The sequence below is a fragment of the Homo sapiens genome, chromosome 9, assembly GCF_000001405.40.
Source record: "Homo sapiens chromosome 9, GRCh38.p14 Primary Assembly".
Lineage (NCBI taxonomy): Eukaryota > Metazoa > Chordata > Mammalia > Primates > Hominidae > Homo > Homo sapiens.
Window position 1 is genome coordinate 65,437,032 of NC_000009.12, and position 21,440 is coordinate 65,458,471.

The 21,440-nt window shown below is 49.2% G+C and overlaps 1 long non-coding RNA gene across 1 annotated transcript; it reads right to left on the reverse strand.

The window, feature by feature from the left end:
• Positions 1 to 8,273: 8,273 nt before the first annotated feature.
• LOC105379446 (uncharacterized) lies at positions 8,274 to 17,861 on the reverse strand. Its single transcript, XR_950679.2, has 3 exons — positions 17,782 to 17,861; positions 12,051 to 12,168; positions 8,274 to 8,353 (listed from the first exon to the last, which is right to left on the reverse strand). It is a non-coding gene; the product is annotated as an uncharacterized LOC105379446 (long non-coding RNA).
• Between the last annotated feature and the right edge of the window lie 3,579 nt (positions 17,862 to 21,440).

A 21,440-nucleotide genomic window follows, 5' to 3' on the forward strand; every position in this document is an offset into this window, starting at 1 on the left:
CAGATTGGAGATGGCAGAAGAAAGAATCAGTGAACTGAAAGACAGAGCAACAGAAATTATTCAATGTGAAGGAAAGAGAGAGAAAAATCATTCAGAAAATAGAGAGATTCAGTGAGACAATGTCAAGTCGTCTAACATAAGTGTCAATATCCATTGAATCTATTCCTGGAGCCCCAGAAGGAGAGGAGAAAAAGACTGCAGCTGGGATAAAAAATGGATTTGAAGAAATAATGGACGAAATTTCTCAAAATATCATGAAAAATGCCAGGCACAGTGGCTCATGCCTGTCATCCCAGCACTTTGGGAAGCTGAGGTGGGTGGATCTCCTGAGGTCAGGAGTTCGAGACCAGCCTGGTCAAACTGGTGAAACCCCGTCTCTACTAAAAATACAAAAATTAGCTGAGTGTGGTGACGTGTGCCTGTAGTCCCAGCTACTTAGGAGGCTGAAGCAGGAGAATTGCTTGAACCCAGGAGGCAGAGGTTGCAGTGAACCAAGATCATGCCACTGCACTCCAGCCTGGGTGACAGAGTGAGACTCTATCTCAAAAAAAAAAAAAAATCTTGAAAAACATCACCCTACAGAAGAAATAACAAGTCCTAAGCATAACGTGCATGCATGCACACACACAGACACACACACAAACACACAGACACACACAGAGACACACACACACACAGAGACACACACACACACAAACACACGGACACACACGGAGACATACACACACAGACACACACAGAGACACACATAGACACACACACCATACACAGACACACACATAAACACACAGACACACACACACAAACAGAAACACACACACCATACACAGACACACACAAACACACATGCACACAGAGACACATACACAGAAACACACACACCACACACACAGACACATGCACACCACACACATACAGACACACACAAACACACACACAAACACACACCACACATAGAGACAAACACATGAACACACACAAACACACATACACACAGAGACACACACACAGAGCCACACCATACACACACACACACACAGACACACCACACACAGACACACCACACACACCCCAAACAAATATGTGCATGCACACACCCCACACACAGAGAGACACACACACACCATACACATACACAAACACACCAAGGTACTTTATAACAAATACTGAAAACCAAAAATAAAAATACACTCTGAAAAGCAGCTAGAGAAAAATTAAACATGACATGTAGGAGGGGAAGAAAAGAAATACCTCCAGCTTGTCATTAGAAACAATGCCAGCAGGAGACAATTGATGACATCTTTGCAGACTGAAAAAATCGTCGGCCTAGAATCCTACATCTCACAAAAATACCTTTCAAGAGCAAAAGCAGATTTCCAGTTTCAGCTTGAAGACAGCAGAAAGAGCCTTGCTTCAGCCCTTACAATAAGAAAAAAAGCTGAGAAACTGCAAGTTAATGATTTTTTCATCAGGCCTTCAGAGAAATGGAGTCACAGGGGAAACAAGCAAGCCAAAATCTGGAGAAAAACAGGCTTCCGGGGAGAAACAGGACCTGAGCATGTTCTCACCTGGGGCAGATGCCACTGAGTCTATTACAAGCTGGTAGATATAGATCTATATTGGGTAGAAATGTGTAAGAATTTACTAAAGGCCAAGCATGGATAAGCATGGGAGTGTGACACCCCTGGTGCCACAGACATATGGGAGGTTCTCACCCTCTTGAAGCTTTTCTTCCAAGGATCCCACCAACCGCTCCCAGGGAAGACACAAGGAAAATCCTAGGGAAGCTTTACCTGGGGTACTGGTGGAAGGAAACACATTTACCTCCAAAACTCTGCCCAGACCCATCCCCACTCTCTGCCCAATGGAACAAAGTCTGCAAAGAAAAACAACAACAACACAAAAATCCGAGCCTCTGTCACTGGTAGGAGTCCATGGAAGCTGGGAGAGGAAAACAGAAAAAAGAAAAAACTCTACCTTAGGAGAGGGTCAGACACACATGCTAACCATGGCACCACCCCGGAAGAGGGCAGGCACACGTGGGAAGAGCCTGGAACAACATTGGATGGCCTAACATACATGTAGTGCAGTTCCAGAAGGAGAAGACACAGAGAAGAGGCTGAAAGAAGTATTTGAAGACCTAACGGCTAAAAATTCTCCAATATGAGTGACGGACACCAGATCACAGATTCAGGAAGCCCAGAGAACATCAAGAAGGGTAAACACCAGGAAAATCCACACCTGGATACATCTTCAAACCACCACAAATGAAGGACAAAGACAATCTTCTTGAAACCGGATGGGGAAAAAGATACATTATCTACAGAGAAACATAGATAAGAATTTCCACAGACTTCTCATCAGAAACCATGCAAGCAAAAAGACAAAGGAGAGATTTCTTTTTTTTAAAGAACTGAATGAAAAATGAAGACTTCCAAAAAAAAAAAACCTGAAAGAATTCATTACCAGAAAACCCACTCTACACAAAAAATATTAAAGTTCTTCAAGTGGAAGGAATATTATATAGACAGAAACTTGAATCTAGAAAAAGAAATGAAGATACTGGAAATTGACTGAAGACAAAAGAAAATCATTTTTAAATTTAATTTATCTAAAACATCATTGTTTAAAGGGAAGATTATAATAATTTATTGTATGTTTGTGACATATGTCAAAGCAAAGTGTGTAATAAAAACGACACAGGAGGAGGAGGGAGGAATTCCATGTATACTGGTCCTTACACTGCACTTGAAGAAGTACAATATTATTTTAAGGTGTGCTCAGATTGTTTAAAAATATAAATTGTGGGCTGGGCACGGTGACTCACGCCTGTAATCCCAGCACTTTGGGAGGCCGAGGCAGGTGGATCACAAGGTCAGGAGATCGAGACCATCTTGGGAAACATGGTGAAACCTGGTCTCTACTAAAAACACAAAAAATTAGCCAGGAATGGTGGGGGGCATCTGTAGTCCCAGCTACTTGGGAGGCTGAGGCAGGAGAATGGCATGAACCTGGGAGGTGGAGCTTGCAGTGAACTGAGATCGCGCCACTGCACTCCAGGCTGCGTGACAGAGCGAGACTCCATCTCAAAAAAAAAATTGTATGTATATATATAGTGAACCAGAAGAATACCTCTAAAAAGTTTTTTAAAGAGGCATCAATAAGTCAATAGAGGAAATATAATGGGATAATAAAATGCTCAATTATGATCAGAAGATGGAGGAAAAGATGGGAAATGAGACAAAAAAGCAAATGTAATAACCTGTCACATGGTCCTGAAGCACAGCAGCATAAAGCGTAGGAGTACAAAAAAACATAGCTTCACTTATGGAGCATAAAGTGAATCCTTATGAAGGATTTATACCTAAATTTCAATATACAGAAAAGACAGGGGGACAGAGGAACAAGCTGAACCTGTCATGAAGAAACAGAAGAACTCAAGCTGTGGGCGCTCTTCAAGACATAGCCCTTCAAGAGGAAAAGTCAAGAAAATAATGTCGAGAAACTATATTTTTAACCTAAAACTTTCAATCTGGAAGGAACAGGAACTTTTCTAGTTTTAGAGACAGGTGAGGCAGTGCGTGAAACTTGGTTAAGTCTTGGTTCAAAGTCACAGCTATAAGAGATGTAGGGAGCACTGGGCACTTTTAACCTGGACAGGATATTAGATAGTATTTGAGAACTGATTCCTAATTTCCTTACATGTGATCAAGGTATTGTGGTTCTGTAGAAAATGTCCTTGTTTTTAACACATGCAAGTGAAAGGATTGGGAGCAAAGTGTCACAGTGCCTCGAACTCATTGTGAAATGCTCAGCAAAACTTTAGAGGAAGGAAAGAGAGAAACATACATGGCAATATGCTAATAATTGTTGAACCTAAGTGGGAGAGATACAGGTTTTCATATGCTATTCTTCATTTATTCTTCCATAATGAACATTTTCGTAATTTAAAAAATCCTCCCATTATCCACAGACCCGATTTTCAGGAGGTGCCACCATCTGGTTCACAGGCATATGCCCAAAAGTAAGCGAGGAGCTCTGAGCAGCCAGCGTGGCAGTCACCAAGCCCTCCAGGCTGCAACTCCCAAGGTGGATGTTTATTGATTGAGCTCAACGTCTGCTCCCCCTTCCCATCTGCTCTGACTTCCGTTTGGAGATCCACGTGGTTTAGGAGAAGCTGGCTCCACTCCAATCTGAATATTCTATCCCCTGACCACAGAGAATCAGGGACACATATGTGATCTAAGGCAGTCCAGTCCCCCCACAGGGGGCAGGAGTTGCCCACAACCAGCTCAAGAATGAAGGGGAACCAACCCTAAGCAAAGCCAATCCTGCAGAAGCAGTGCCCAGAGGTTAAAGGACCTTGGGGACATCATGGAGAGCCCCTGGAGCATCCCTCACCGGAAGCCACCACATCCACCAGATTGGTCTGTTGAAGAAGCCAATAGATTCGCTTAGGCTGCCATACTGCTGCTTGCAATCAAAAAGATGCTGAGTCATACAATTCCATAGAAGAATCCCTCAGGCCCTCACTTCCAGCCGTAAATCAGTAAACAATGTTCAGGTGCAATTCTGAAATCTGTATCTTGTTTCCGGGAACTCAGGAGTGGAGACCCTGTAGACTAAGAGAGGCAAGGGCCGTGCAGGCAAGCACGCCACCCGCACCCACAGTGAGTGCTGACAGCCCGCAAGCCGGCAGGCTCTTCCCAGGAGAGGAAGCCTGGCACTCAGCCTCTGCATAATTAGAGAAATGGAAATTAAAACCACAACAAGATCCACTTCACACCCACCAGGCTGGCAAAATCTCCAAGCCGGAATAATATCCAGTGCTGGCAAGGATGTGTGACACCTCAGATACCCAAATGCTGCTGGTAGGAGTGTAAATTTATGGAATTCACATTGGATAGCAATTGGCAGATATCTACATATGTTATATGCACGTGTATATACATGTATATGTGTGTGTATGCATATGCTTATGTGTGGATGTGTGTGTGTGTGTGTGTGTGTATTTCCATGTACAGTCATGTGCCACATAACAGCACTTCCGTCAAGAACAGATGGCATATACAATGGTGGCCCCATAAGATTAGAACAGAGCAGACCTTGTACAGGTGTACTGTATTTTATCTTTTATACTGTATTTTTACTACACTGTTTCTATGTTTAGGTATGTTTACATGCACAGATACTTACCATTGTGTTACAATCACCTGCACCGTTCAGTACAGTACCACCCTGCCTGGGTTTGTAGCCCGGGAGCAGGAGGTCCTGCCATACAGCCCAGGCGTGTGGGAGGCGATGAGTCTGTGCCATCTGGGTTTGAGTAAGTTCACACTATGATGCCCGCACGGCAACGAAATCGCCTAACAGCGCCTTCCTCAGAACCATCCCTGCCATCGGGCGATGTGTGACTGTATGTGTATATGTGTATACACAGACATGTACGTGTATACATACAGTGCAAAATATTGACAGTTGGTGAATCTAACTGAGGGGCATGCAAGTGGTCCTTGTCTATTCTTTCAACGTGTCTGTTTGCTCGAAAATCCTCAAGGTAAGCTGGGGAAAATCATCTAAAAGGCGGCAAGAAAGGAAAGAAGTTATACACAGAATCTGCAAACAAACAGTATACGTAAAAGAAAACAGCAGCTCCAAACTTAGATGTATCAGTAATTGCATTAAGTATAAACAGACGAAGAGCTCGACTTGTGAGCCTATGTCGTTGACTCTGTGTGTATGTGTCTGTGCATGTGTGTGTGATGGATTTGTCTGTGTGTGTGTGTGTGTCTGTGCGTGTGTGTGTGATGGATTTGTCTATATGTGTTTTCTATTTTTAAAAAGCCAACATTGGCAGAGCAAATGCAGTTACCTGGAGCTGTCTAGCAAAGGTAGCCTGATAACCAGCATCCTCTGCATGTGGCATGTTCCGGGAACGTTTTCTCTAAAATAACTAAGAAAACAAAACAACACATTCACACATGGGGGATGTCTCTAGCTGTCACGCCATGGACTTAGGGGCTGAGGCTTGGCTGATGCCCCAACCCCAGGTGGCACTGCTTGGTGCCCTCCCCAGGGAGGGTCTCCTAGCCTGGCTCACTGAGAAACCCCACCACAAATCACCCTGGATCTGCCTCAAGGAGAGAGGTTCACTGAACTGCACTAACACACACCCCAGAGACCCAGGTGCCAGCCAGACAGACACCTTGTATTAGGTGACCTGAGGGATGGGCCATCTGGCAGCCAGACCTTCCTGTCACTGAGCCAGGGCTCTCCTCCCTGGGGACAAGTCCAGTGGGAAGGCAGAACCACAGGACAGCTTAGGAGCCGGAGCCAGGCCAGGAGAGGGGGCAGCTTCAGCCAGGTGCTCACCTCCAAACAGGGGCAGTGGGGCAGTTGGAGTTGGGGAGAGGAGACCCTCCACAGTGCTGCTGGGGATATGTTCACCTCCACATATTCTAGGCTTCCTGGCTGTGTTGAGACTGGGATACCTTTGGTCAGGTGGCTTTGTCCTCCCCCTCCATGTCAAATGTCTGCATGTCCCTCCTCTGCACCTGCTACCACCATGTCTATCCACCCTATTCAATCCTCACTGACCCTGGAAAAGCCTACCTCCCAAGACAACACTCAAGGTCAAAGGTCAAAAAAAGCCAGACACCTGTGGAATGCAGCCTAGGTCTCTTCTCCCTGGAAATTCACCTGAGAGTCTGTGCCTGGAGGCGCAGGTGCACCAGGAAGTTCCACCTAGAAGTGCAGGTGCTCAAGGGGTTCTCACCAGGAAGTATGGGTGCATCAGGAAGTTCACCCGTAAATGCAGATGCAGCAGAACATCTTACCTAGAAGTGCAGGTGCATCAGGAAGTGCAGATGCCCAAGGGATTCTCACCAGGAAGTGCAGATGAACCAAGAAGTCTGCACCAGGAATTGCAGGTGCACCAGGAAGTCTGCATCTGGGAGTGCAGGTGCACCCGGAAGTCTCATGTGGAAGTGTAGGTGCACCAGAAAGTCTCATCTGGAAGTACAGGTGCACCAGGAAGTCTGCATCTGGGAGTGCAGGTGCACCTGGAAGTCTCACCTGGGAGTACATGTGCACCAGGAAGTCTTATTTGGAAGTGTAGGTGTACCAGGAAGTCTCATCTGGAAGTGCAGGTGCTCCAGGAAGTCTCACCTGGGAGTGCAGGTGCACCAGGAAGTCTCTCATCTGGGAGTGCAGGTGCACCTGGAAATCTACATGTTCCACATGAGGTGACTCCTGGGCCTGCTTTCTGATTCTGTTTCCAGCCCTGCCGACATTAATCCACCACCCCAGTGTCTCTCAGCTCTAAAGCCATGACCCCCTCACACTCCACGCTTCTAGCCTGGCCTGTGCCTCTTTGCCCCTGTGACAGGGAAGGGTGGCGGAGCAAGTGCTGCACATAGGAGTCCAGGGCTGGCTGGTCATGGCCACCTTGGGCCCAGGCCTCCTCCTCTTGTGAGGAGGCAGGCAGGCAGCCAGTGATGCCTGGGCACCCTCCTGACACTATGCCCTCCAGGGAGGACAGGAGTGCCAGGCCTGGGAGTGGAGTATGGAAGCCTCAGAAGTTGCCTGCTCCAAGAGCATGGGGGGCTGGGACAGGCTTTCTGCCCAGCCGGGAGGACCCAAGGGCCCCTTGTTTCTGAGGGCCCCTTGTTTCCGAGGGGCCCTGCACTTTCTGAGGAACTTCCTTGGATTCAACCCTCTGCCACATCTCAAATTTTCTGCCTGCTTCTGCTACATGCAGCCATGAGGTGGGGCCCACCCAGCAGCTCCCAGCTCCATGAGAGCGAGTCCACGGCCATCTCCAAAGACCACAGTGGCCTGGCCAGGTGGATGTGACATCTTTACTGCCCACTGCTGAGACCTTTCTGCCTCTTGTTTCCATGCTGGGGTGTTCAGGGAAGGACTGCCAGGCCCGGGGCCTTGGGGAAGAAGCTCCATTTTCACCAGAAGCTGAGAATGAGAGGAAGGTTCAGGTAGGTGCAGAGGTGAGAACCCTGCAGGGGCTGAGCCGGCCAAGCCCAGCCAAATCCCAGCCCGGGACCAGGGGCAAACTGTTTAGCCTCGGTGCCCACAGTTATAAAGCAGCAGTGATGGCAGCTCCAGGCTCCTACGCACTTAGACAGGCACATGGTGGCCTAAGTGAGGGCAGGCCGCCTGCCCAGGGCCCCCGCTGCTGCAGCTGCATTCCTTGTTGTTGCTGTTGGCAGTGTCCTATCAGAAGCACCTGGGCACACACCACAGCAGGAAAGCCGGAAGTCTCATCTGGGACTCTCATCTGTGGCTCCCACCCTGGCAGAGCCATCTGGGCTGTTCTGAGCACAGGTTCACCCACAACCTAAGGAACGGGAAACTCCTTACATTCGACGCCTCTTAGCTTGTTTTAAACAAGGCCCACGGCTTCCATTTTCCTACACTATGGCAGGCCATGACCTTTACTCATGCCTCCCACACAACAAAATCAAATAAAATAAATCCTGGGTAATTTGTGAACATTTCTTTAAAGTATTGATAAACTGACAAAGAAGCTTTATTCCAAGAGCTTGGGTTAGAGTTCAGTAGGGACTGACAGGGCCTTCAGGAAAACGGCAGAAGTAAACACAGATCCCTTCTGTACCACAGGACCCCCAGCACTTTGGGAGGCTGAGGCTGGCAGATCACCTGAGATCAGGAATTCGAGACAAGCCTGACCAATATGGTGAAACCCAGTCTCTACTAAAAATACAAAAATCAGCCATGCATGGTGGCATGCACCTGTAGTCCCAGCTACTTGGGAGGGTGGGGCAGGAGAATTGCTTGAACCCGGGAGGCAGAGGTTGCAGTGAGCCAAGATCGCCCCATTGCACTCCAGCCTGGGTGACAGAGCGAGACTCAGACTCAAGAAAAAAGGAATTCAGATAATCAGATAATGGCCTTATCACACACAGAGGACGAGAAATTAAAGGACCAAAAAGATTCGAAAAATAACTATGCCCACCCTGAGAAGCTCTCCTAGAATGAAAATACATAACTGAAATTCAAAGGCAATGAATGCATTTGACTGTAGAGCAGACACAGCAGAGGAGAGGATGGATGAGCCTGGGGGAAGCGGAAGCCGTTCTCCATGCAGCACAGGAAGTCAGACAGAAAGCACGGAGGAGAAAATGGGAGGAGGGGAAGCCGGCAGAAAGGGTCTGGCACGCATCCATGTTGACACCCGGAAGGAGAGAGAGGAAAATACAGAGTAAAGTCTGAAAAGAGGGTGACTGACCACAGGTCTGTCTGATTCTGTCAAGAACAATTCAGAAGGAGCTGCAAATAAAGCACTTGGGTTAATGAGTTTGGCAGGTTTGCTAGATACAAACCAAAATGCAAACATCTGTTGTATTGCCATATATGAGCAACAAAAAAAATAGAAACTATAACTTTTTAAATGATGCTGTATTAGGGCTGGGCATGGTGGCTCATACCTGTAATCCCAGAACTTTGGAAGGCCAAGGCAGGCAAATCACTTGAGGTCAAAGGTTCAAGACCAGCCTGGCCAACAAAGTGAAACCCCATCTCTACTAAAAATACAAAATTAACCAGACATGGTGGCACACGCCTGTAGTCCTAGCTACTCAGAAGCTGAGGCACAAGAATTGCTTGAACCCAGGAGGCGGAGCTTGGCAGTGAGCCAAGATCATGCCACTGCACTCCAGCCTGGGTGACACAGTGAGACCCTGTCTCAAAAAAACAAAAACAAAAAAAGATACTGTATTAGTTAGGATTCTCCAGAGAAACAGAACCAACAAGATGTGTGTGTACGTGCATGCATGCATGTGCCTGTGTGTGTACGCATCGTGCATATGTGTGTGTGCACATGTGTTTGTGTACACAGAGAGATTATTGATTTTTTTTTTTTGAGACAGAGTTTCACTCTTTCACCCAGGCTGGAGTGCAGCGGTATGATCTCGGCTCACTGCAACCTCTGCCTCCCAGTTTCAAGCGATTATCCTGCCTCATCCTCCCAAGTAGCTGGGATTACAGGCACCTGCCACCACACCCAGCTAATTTTTGTATCTTTAATAGAGACGGGGTTTCACCATGTTGGCCAGGCTGGTCTCAAACTCCTGACCTCGTGATCCACCTGCCTTGGCCTCCCAAAGTGCTGGGATTGCAGGCGTGAGACACTGATTTTTTTAAGGAATTGGCCCACATAATTGTGGAGGTGTAGCAGGTCCAAAGTCTGCAGGGCAGGCCGACAGTCTGGAGACTCAGGGAGCAGTTGGAGTTTGAGTCCAAAGGCCACTTGCTGGCAGAATTCCCTCTTCCCTTGGGGAGGTCGGTCTGTGTTCTAGTCAGGTCTTCACCTGATTGGACGAGGCCCACCCACATTATGGCGCACCGTCTGCCTAACTGAAGGTCAGCTGATTTCAGTGTGTATCTTATCCGAAAAGCAGCCTCACAGCAACATCCTGACCAAGCACTTGGGCACTGTGGCCCAGCCAAGTTGGCATACAATTAACCATCACAGAGACCATTACAGTAGTACAGCTGGCAAGAAGTATCTAGGAATAAACCTAACAAAATAGGTGCAAGATACACAGAGAAAAAATAAGAAATTTTACTGCGTGTCATGAATGAAGATCTAAATAAATGGAGAAATAAAACATACTTGTTTTCAAAAAATAAACATGTATATGGATTGGAAAACTCAATAATATTACAGAGATACCAATTTTTCCCCGAAATGATTTGTAGAGCCACTACAATGCCAATCACAATCCTAAGTGGTGTGTGCATGTGTGTGAGTGTGCGTGCATGTGCATATGTATGTGCATGTGTGTGTGCATGGGTGCATGTATGTGCGTGTGTGTGCACATGGGTGTGTATGTGTGTGTGTGTTTGTAGACTTTAACAAGATGATTCTAAAATTTACATGGAATTGGAGCAGGCACCACTGTGAACCTATTCTGATTCTGGTGCCCAATAAAGATCTTTTTTAACTTTTTAAAAAGAGCCAGGGATAGCCAAAATATTCTTAATGAAGAATAAAAAGCGGGCAGGTTGGTCTTTCTGTTCCCTAAGATTTCCTTTAAAGCCTTAGCAAAGCAGACAATTAGGTCGGCACACAGGTAACGCATAACAGACGGAAACAGAGCAGGCCTGGCTGCTGGAGGAGAGAGGCAGATCGATGGGGACAAGACAGTCCTATTTAAAATCAGTTTGGAGAACTGATTATCCATAGAGGGAAAAATATTACTTACACTCCTGCTCTATACTGTCCACAAAGGTCAATGCTGAGAAAAATTAATTATAAATCAAAAATCAATACTAGGTGGATTAAATATGAAAGATGAACCCACAGATCCTTTGGAAAGGCATAAAGGAGAAAATCTGACTTCAGAGTAAAGAGACATTCCTTAAGCAAGACACAAAGGACACAAGCCATAAAGCAAAAGAGGAATTAATTGGACTTCATTAAAATGTACTACTTCTGTTCATCAGACACCACATTGAAATGGAAAGATAAGACACACTGGAAGATGTCTGCAGGATGGATAATTGGCAAAGAGTCACTTAGGAAATATATAAAGAACTCTCATAACTAGTCACCAAAAAACAAAAAAATATGTAATGGACCAAAGACTTGAACAGGTGCTTCACATAAAAGAAAATCCAGTTGGCAAATACACATAAGCAAAGATGTAGAACCTCATTCCCTCCCAAGGAAATGCAAATTAAAACCACAGCAAACTAAAACCACAGCTAGTGCTACTTCACATTCACTAGACCGTCAAAATGGTAAAATCTCAGGAAGCTGGGAGAATTGCTTGAGCCCAGGAGTTCGAGGCCAACCTGGGTGACATAGCAAGACCCCATTTCTAATAAGGAAAAGAAGTTTAAAAATGTTAAATTCAGGCAAAACCAAGTGTTGACAAGGATGTGGAGCAACAGTACCTTTTATAGGTTGCTGCTGGGTATGCACTTTAGAAAATCATTCAGCAGTATCTAGTAAAGTTGAAGCTGTCCAAACTGCTGACAAAGTAGCTCTGGCTATTTTCAGTAAATACCTGCTTGGAAAAGATGGTTCCAATGTTTACAGTGGTCACAACAGCATTTCTTTAGTGGTGCAGGCATACCATGGAATACTACACAGCCAGGAAAATGAACAGCAACAGCTACACACATCTGCAAAGAAGAGTCATCTGAGCAATAGAAGCGAGTCATGGAAGCATTCCCAGGATGTGATCCCACCAGGTAGCATTCGAAAACAGACAAAAACTAAACATCTGTTTAGGGGTGCCTACGTAGGTGGGAAAATTGTGACTAAAAGGCAGAAAATGATTACCCCAAAAGTCAGGTGAGTGGTCCCCAAGGGGAGAAGGAAGGAACCCAGGAAGCTTCTGGGGTTGTGGCAGTAGCGTGTCGCTCCAGGGGCTCACATTACCATTCATGTGTGCCATTCACTTCATGACAATAAAATCATATTGTTTACAAGGATGCCCTGCTTGGCCCAGTGGTCTGGGAGGGGCTGTCTTGCCCTGTGCAGAGAGAGTGCAGGTGCAGAAGTGCAGAGGGACCAGGGGTGAGCCCAGTCCTGGGACCAGACTGCCAGGAGACCAGAAGCACGGAGGCCAGGGCCCTCCCTGAAGGCATCTAATTTGACTGAGTCATGCATGGGGCTGCACCTGTGACGGCCACAGAGGCCCTGCAGCTGTGCCTGGTAGACACCTCCCTGCTCCGGAAGGACTCCACAATCTCTGACCAGTCCCCCCATCGCACCTCCTCTTACAGGAGCCCAGGAAAGAGCCCAGGCAGGCACCTCTTCTCCTCCAAGGCATGGCACAGCCCCGGTCACAGAAATGGGAGAAAGTCTGCTTTGACCACCCTTCAGTGTGCCCCTGTCCCCACTGACTCAGACTCCAGCTCCGCCCCCCCCAGCCCCCTTTGAGGACATATTGGTCCCCTCCCTTTACAGAAGAATCTCAGACTCGCTGGCTCTGCACCTACCCAAGCTCCACGGCAGGAAACAGGCTTTGCCTGGTGCCTGCACCCTGCCCCCTGCCCCCTGCCTGTGCCCAGCCTTGTTCTAGAACATAATGCAGGACCAGCCCTGCCCGCTGTGAGAGCCTGGAGGAGGCAGCTGGGTGGGGCAGGGGCAGGCTCTGAGGATCCCGGGGACCATCCCCACCAGGCTGCCCAGAGGACAGGCAGAGTGACCAGCAGGCTCCTGGCACCAGAGGGACCATGGGCCTGGCAGATGGCGGTGGATGGGGACAGTAGGAGCTCCCCACGCCACAGGGTAGCAGCCTTCAGGACAGGCAGGCAGAGGGTCTCAGGTGAACCTGGAGCTGAGAGCATTCAACATGACCACAGGGGCCATGGGGCCGCAGGACCAGGGCAGCTCCGCAGAACGCAGGGAAGATGGCTGATTCTCGAGCCCCATCTGGAGCCAGGGCTGGAGCCAGGTACCTGAGGGACCCACGTTGGGGACACAAACAGCCTCTCCCCAGGCCTCTCTGCACCCTGTGCTCCCTGGGAGGAGCTATGGGAATGGGCTGTCTACTGTGCCTTCCAAGGCCAGCTCATTATTCCTGGTCAGTCCCTGCAGCCCATACCTGGCTCTGTCAGGCCCTAAGGGCAGTGCAGGGAGAGCTTAGAGGAAAGCCCTCAGAGAGACTGGATTCCCTTTGGTGGGGCAGAGGCTGTTCAAAATGGAAAGCCACCCCCTTCTCTTCATTTCTCAGAGCAACACATTCAGCCCCACTTAGCTCTCTTCACAGCCGCAGTAGGACTTTGGTCTGTGTCCAGAACCCCCAAAGGCTACCCCCCCTCAATGCACACACATGTCGGGATGAGCCAGCATCTAGCAGGATGCCTGGCTGTAGCTCAGCATGGGCAGTGTTGGCAGGGGCAGGCCACAGTCCAGGCTCTGCTCCCACACACAACCACACGCACTGACCCGTGGCCCTCACCAGGAGCCTATGAGGTCAGTGCTCCTTTGTCTCCGTGGACCAATGTCATCCAGCGAGCAAATAGTAGGGGTGGGATTTCAACCCAGGCCATTGGTACCATAGCCCACATGCTAACCACTGTGCTCATGATCGTCAGATCACTGTAGGGGGCGAGATGGCAAAGTCAAGGAAAAATGACAGAGCAGAGGGACAGGGCTAGTCTCTCCCAACACTGAGAAGTCAGAAAAGTCTGTGGGTCCAGAAGCAGCTCCCCTTTAGGTGTAGGTACTTTTTTTCTAGTGTCTGCTGCCTACTAGGTCCTTTAATAAATATTTCCTAGGTAGATAGGTGAATGGGTGAATGGACAAGTAGATAAATGGATGGATGGATGGATGATGGATGGATGGAAGGATGGATGGATGATGGATGGATGGAAGGATGGATGGATGGATGGACGGACCAACAGATGGATGGATGGATGGAGGATGGAAATGGATGGATGGATGGATGGATGGATGGATGGATGGATGGATGGATGATTGGAGGATGGATATGGGTGGATGAATGATGAATGGATAGGTGGGTGGGTGATGGATGGATGGAAGGATGGATGGATGGATGGACGGACAGACAGATGGATGGATGGATGGAGGATGGAAATGGATGGATGGATGGATGGATGATTGGAGGATGGAAATGGGTGGATGAATGATGAATGGAAAGGTGGGTGGGTGATGGATGGATGGATGGATGAATAAATGGGTGGGTAGGTGGGAGTGTTAAAGGACAGGTGGATTGGAGGATAGAGAGAAGGGAGAGTAAAGGGTAAATAAGTGAGTGGTTGGATGGATGGATGGGAGAATAAGTCGGCATGGTGCTAATGTGATATTTATTTTATGTCCTCAAAGGCTTTTTTTGCACATATGATAGATTATTCAGAAATTGCTTTGGGTTTTAAAAAATTAAAATTTGTATGTACTGATGATACAAAATCAGAAAAGTATGTTTTTCTCCCTTAAACTATGAGCCAAATCTACAAATCTTATCATTATAAGTTTAAGAAATCTCAAAATTCTTTCTAAAAGTTATTTCATTAGCAGTAGTTCCTACTACTTAATAAAACACCTTCAAAAACTTAATTACATTAACAAACTTAATACATTAGATCTTGCCTGACAAATCTTCCCAAATTAAGTAGTTCTTTTAAATTTAAAAACATAACTTCCTAATATGATGAAACTTAGATTCTCTTAAATTTTCCAACATTTTATATAAACTTTATGATTTCAACTGATAGTCATAAGTCTAAATCAAGTAATTAAGTATATATTTCAAATTTTAATTAAAAGGCCGAACTGTCCTTCTAATAACCCCAAATTTCTTAAACATCACAAATGCTTATAATACCAAACATGCCCAGATTCCTTCACTCAAAACTATGAATACTGGAAGTTGATACCATAAAACATTTCTGTACCTAATTCTAAATATTCCCTTGGGTTTAAACATTTCTTTTTTCACTGAGGAAACAACTAAGAGATTTGAGCAGCATTATCTAGGTAATTGGAGGTTAGAAAATACTAGCATTATCAGTCAGCGTACTGATGGTATTTTCATCTACCACACAGACGGGAGTTGCAGAAACCTATTTATGTTTTGTTACAGGGACTCCAGATCTTAGAGTTTGGTTTTGAGCCCTCGACCCCATATAGAACTTGATCCTATTCCTTTCATGCACATCTATAAACCCCACCCAGGGGGTTCAAGTGGGTTTTGCATTTATCAGACTTCTCCATGATTGGCATAGTCTTCCTGGTGAGACCTGGAGTGTGGCTCCCAGACACCCAAACTTGGCTGGAGTCCTGAAGCAGGCGCAGCTAATCTGGCTGATCTACTCCTTCACACTCGTGGAGCAGATGGGGAAACAGACCAGAGGGGCAGCCCAGGAAGCAAATTTGGATGATCCAAATCTCAAAGCTGAGTTGGAATCTGTGGACAAAGCTTCTAAAGTCATACCAGTGATGTGTGGTGTTTGGATGGACAGATGGATAGATGGGTGGATAGACAATGGATGATGGGTCGGTGGGTAGATGGGTAGATGGGTGGATGGATAGGTGAGTGGACCACAGTCTGATGGGTAGATGGGTTGATAGGTGGTTGTTTGAGTAGGTGGATAGAATGGATGGATAGAAGTTTTATGAGTGTATGGCTGAATGGGGAGTAGTGGATAAGTAGGTGAAGCAGTCAATGGGTAAGTGAGTGAATGTGTAGGAGGATCATGCATGAATGGGTGGGTGGATGTCATGGGTATATGGGTATAGGAGAGGTAGATAAGTATGTGTACAGATGGGTAAAGGGAAGGATGTGGGCGCGTTATGGGGTGGTTGGGTAGGTTGACGGATGGATGGGTGGATAAGTATTGTGTTACATGGGAGGAAACAAGTTTAGTTAGGTTGGTGGGTAAATGGATGAGTGAGTAGTTGGATGTAGACATGGAAACTGGCTGGCTGGGTGGATGGATGATGGGTGAGTGAATGGATGGGTGGGTGATGAAAGAAAGGGAGGACGGATGGGTGGATGGATGGATGAGTGAGTGAATGAATGGATAGGTGGGTGAATGGAATAGGTGGATGGATGGATGGATGGATGGATGATGAAAGAAAGAAAGCATGAATGGATAGGTGGACGAATAGAATAGGTGGATGAATGGATGGATGGGTGGAAGGATGGATAGATAAGTGAATAATGAATGGGTGGACGAATATGTGGATGAATGGATGGATGGGTGGATAGATGGATGATGAAAGAAAGAAAGGATGAATGGATGGGTGGATGGGAGAGTGAGTAAATAAATGAATGGGTGGATGAATGGGTAGATGGATGGATGGGTGGATGGATGAATGAATGAGTGAGAGGATGGGTGGGTGACGAAAGAAAGGAAGGAAGAAGGGGTGGACGGGTAGGTGGATGAATGTATGATAGGATGGAAGCTGGCTGGATGTGGGGGTGGATGAGTTGAATGGACAGATGGGTAAGAGGGTAAGTGGGTGGATGGTGAAGGAATTAATAATGTTATTATTATAAACATTATTATTATTATATGAATAAGTTTCTGGTTTAGAAGACTAGTATCCTTCTGACAGCTCTCTCAGAGGGTCAGGCTCTACAAATTTGCTTCCTGGGCTGCCCCTCTCTGGGTTGTTTCCCCATTTGCTCCATGAGTGTGAAGGAGTAGATTGGCCAGATTAGCTGCACCTGCTCCAGGGGCCCAGCCCAAGCCCGGGTGCCTGGGAGTCACACTCCAGGACACTCGACCCCTGCCCTCTGGGGCCAGGGTCAGCAGCCTCTGGCCAGACCCCTCCTCTTAAAAAAAAGCTCAGGTAGGGAGAGAACACTGCCCTGCTGGTGGTTGCCATGGAAAATCCTTCATTGCTTGTTTTTCTCCTCAACTGATTAAGAAAAGGGAGTCATAAAATGACAGGGCGTCACTGGGCCTTGCCGCTGGCCAGCTTTGACTTATCCCCTGACATTTCCCAGGAGCCAGCTAACCTTTTCTGTCACAAGTAGACTGAAGCGGGTCCCTTGAGGCAGTCTAGCCTGAACAGAGTCCATCTCAGGGGAGGCGAGGACCCAGGACACAGCAACAGGAGCCAGGTCATTTGAATAACCAGGAAGGAGAGCAGATGGTGCTGGGACCAGGAGCACAGCGAGGACCCTAAGGAAGCCACCAAAAAACAGCCTTCGCAACAGTCAGGACTGCTGTCAGGACCACCAGGCAGAGCCCAGGGAGCAAACACCTGCTCTCCCTCCCTGGGGTCCCTGCTGTGTTCCCAGGCATGACACTCACCTCCCAGAGCAGCAGCCTGGCCTCTGCTCCTCTCCGGGCAGAAACGACACAGGGATGCGCCCCAGTCAGTGTGCTGGGGTCCTAGGGGCGTTGGCGACGCCGGGGCAGGTTCCACCATAGATCCTGCTGCCTCAATCCAGAGGGCTTTCAGAAGGCGCCCCTGCTATGGCATCGCAGAGGGAGGAGACCCGGGATGTGGCTCAGCAGGGCTGTGTATACACCAAGATGCCTCCGTCTGCCCTTCCAGCTGTAAATCAAGACTCAGCCATGGAGAGGGAGGAGAAAGTCCACAGGTGCTGAGCCTCCTTCCCAGCCCTGGTCTCAGCCTCAGGATAGAAGACTTTAACCCCAGAAGGCCCTCAGGAGGCCAGGCAAGCCAACATCCTCGAACCTGTGCCACGATGGGGAGCGATGGGGCGAGGACAGAGCCTGGAGTCACAGACCAGGAAACTGGGTTGCCTCAGCTCACCCAGGGTCCCAAGGCCAGGACAGGGCAGAGCCGAGATCAAAGTCCCTGCGAGGCCGCCCTCATGAAGGGACTCAGGAGGGTTCACTGGGTGAATGGATGAGCCTGTACGGTGAATGAAGGCCGAGCCCACGGCTGGGAGCTGCCATCCCCGGCTTCCTCTGAATACAGACAGCCTGATGCGCAGGTCTCAGATCTGGGAGGGGGCCTGGGCCCCTTGACCCCATCTCTTCATTTACTGATGGGGAAACCGAGGGCCAGCCTGCCACAGTAATGCCGTGGGTGCCTGAGTCATCTCCTCCTCCTCCTCCTTCTCCTCCTCCTCCTCCTCTTCCTCCCCCTTCCTCGTCTCCCCCTTTCCTCCTTCTCTTCCTCTTCCTTCCTTCCTCCCACCCATCTCCCTCTCCTGAGCCCCAGCTCTGCTCTGCCACCAGGCCTTGTCCCTTTTAGGGTCCAAAAGATCAGGTCCTGCCCTGGGGCCAGTCAGCATGAAAAGGGATGACCATCTCTTCCTCCAGAGGACAGGGACTCTATGCCCCAGGCACTCCGAGGTCAAACCTGGCTCCCACTCAGACTATGAAGACAGCATCCACTGGGTCAGAGTCATGAAGCCACGGGTCCCAGGGGACAGCTCAGGTGGCCGCAGGGCCAGACTGGCAGGCTGCCCTCTGCCTCCTGTTAGCACAAACGCCCCTCCCCTCAGGCCTGAAGTCTGACATCAGCCAGTGGGCACCAGGCCCTGTCAGGAACAGGAGGAGGCCACAGCCATCCTCAGGAGAGAACAAAGGACACACAGGCCTCCAGGGAGAGCAGTGGGTGGCAGTGACAGGAGGGGCTACTCAGGATTCATGAGCGAGGGCCAGGCAACTTGGCCACCTTGGAGGAGCCGCTGCACCTATCCAAGCCCAGGTTTCCCTGCTGAAGACAGCACCAGTGTCTCCTCCTGGGGGTGTTGAGTGGGTCATCCCAGGCCAGAGAGGTCGAAGGGCTCTGTGAGCTATGAAGTGCTGGGCACCTGTGGGGCAGGGGCATACGTCCTGCGGTCAGGCTGCCCTGGAGGGTGGAACACCTACGCACTGTTCCAGCGGGAGGGGTATGGCGTCCAGTGAGGCCCAGCTCCCCGAGCCTTTCCTGATGGCACTGGAAGACAGGCAGCATCCCAGAAACATATAAAAGGCCCAGGGGCTGGTGCTGGGGGCACATGGCCGGGGCGACCCTGGGCTGGGCTGTGTACCCACGGAGCACTGCAGCAGACAGAGCAGGGGTGCGAGCTCCAGGGTCCCAGGATCCATCTCCTTCCCTGCAACAAACCCCTCTCTGCTGGAAATCCCTGGAGCGGTTCCTTCATCCTGCTCTGAACTTCCTTGACTGATCCCACAGACCGGTGCACTGCACAGCTGCCTGGAGACCAGAAGATTCCATACGTCTCCCTCCACCTGCCCAACATCCACAAGCCCAGGAGGCTGCCCTCCATAATTCTGGCTTTTCTGCGTATTTTTCAAAGCACAGGGCACTGGAAGAATGCCTGCATGAGACATTCTTGCAAGCCAGAGCCCGCTGGAGACATGCAGGAGAGCAAAACCTCCCTGCTGTGTCTGCAGATTTGCACACATTTCTGGGAAATAAACCTGCGGCCCCTCCTCTCCCCAGACGTTGGTTTATCCTCCACGGCAAAAGGATACCGTCTTTTCTGCGGCAAAGATGGGGGCGAGATGGCTAGCAGTCCCCTTAGAAGATCAAGGGTTTCCTCGGCTGACACAAACCTGCTCTGTTTGCCCCCTGAGATGTGGCGGACAAGGCAGATGGATAAAGTGACTGCGAGTTCCCGTGCGTCTCGGGTCACCAGTGTTTCTCCCTGGCTGTGCCCACACCTCACCTGGCCTCCCAGGCCCTGCCTCCCTGAGCTTCTCACAGCACGCTCCCTCGCCGTCTGTGTACCGCCTCTCGGGTCGCCTTCCACACCTTGAAGCAGCAGTGTGAATTCCTTCCGCGGACCCGGTGCGGGCTCCTGTGGCCCCGCTCAGCCCGTTCTCATCCTTCAGGGAGTCTCAGATTGTTTTTGTTTGTTGTTTCTTTTTTTTTCCTTCCAACTTCTATTTGAGATTCTAGGTATACACCTGCAGGTCTGTTACACGGGTAAACTGCATGTCACGGAGGCTTGGTGTACAGATTATTTCATCACCCAGGCACTGCGCATTGTACCGACAGGTGGTTTTTTTTTGTTTGTTTGTTTGTTTTTTCTGAGATGGAGTCTTGCTCTGTCACCCAGGCTGGAGTGCAGTGGCACGATCTCGGCTCACTGCAACCTCTGCCCCCTTGGTTCAAGCAATTCTCTGCCTCAGCCTCCCGAGTAGCTGGGATTACAGGCACCCTTCACCAAACCTGGCTAAATTTTTTTGTGTATTTGTAGTAAAGACGGGGTTTCACTATCTTGGCCAGGCTGGTCTTGAACTCCTGACCTCGTGTTCCACCTGCCTTGGCCTCCCAAAGTGCTGAGATGACAGACGTGAGCCACTGCACCCAGCCAACAGGTGGTTTTTCTATGCTGACGCTCCTCCCACCTCCGCCCTCAAGCGGGCCGGTGTCCATGTGTCCATCTGTACTCAATGTTTAGCTCCCACTTACAAGCGAGAACATGTAGTATTTGGTTTTCTGTTCCCATGTTCCATCACTTGGACAGGAGTCTCAATAAACACAGCCTCCTCAAGAGAGGCCTTCCCTGGCCACTTTCCCAAAACTAGTCACCCCTCTCCCACGTGTCACACGCCCCTCCCATCCACCTCACACCCCTCTCCCATGTGTCACACCCCCCTCCCACCCGCCTCACACCCCTCTCCCACCCGTGTCACACCCCCTCCCGTCCGCCCCACACCCCTCTCCCACCCGTGTCACGCCCCCTCCCCCAACTCACACCCGTCTCCCACGTGTCACACCCCCCTCCTGTCCGCCTCACACCCCTCTCCCACTTGTCACACCTCCTTCCATCCACCTCACACCCCTCTCCCACGTGTCACACCCCCCTCCTGTCAGCCTCACACCCCTCTCCCACCTGTGTCACACCCCCTCACCCCACCTCACACCCCTCTCCCACCCGTGTCACACCCCCTCCCGTCTGCCTCACACCCCTCTCCCACGTGTCACACCCCCTGCCCCCACCTCACACCAATCTCCCACCCGTGTCACACCCCCTCCC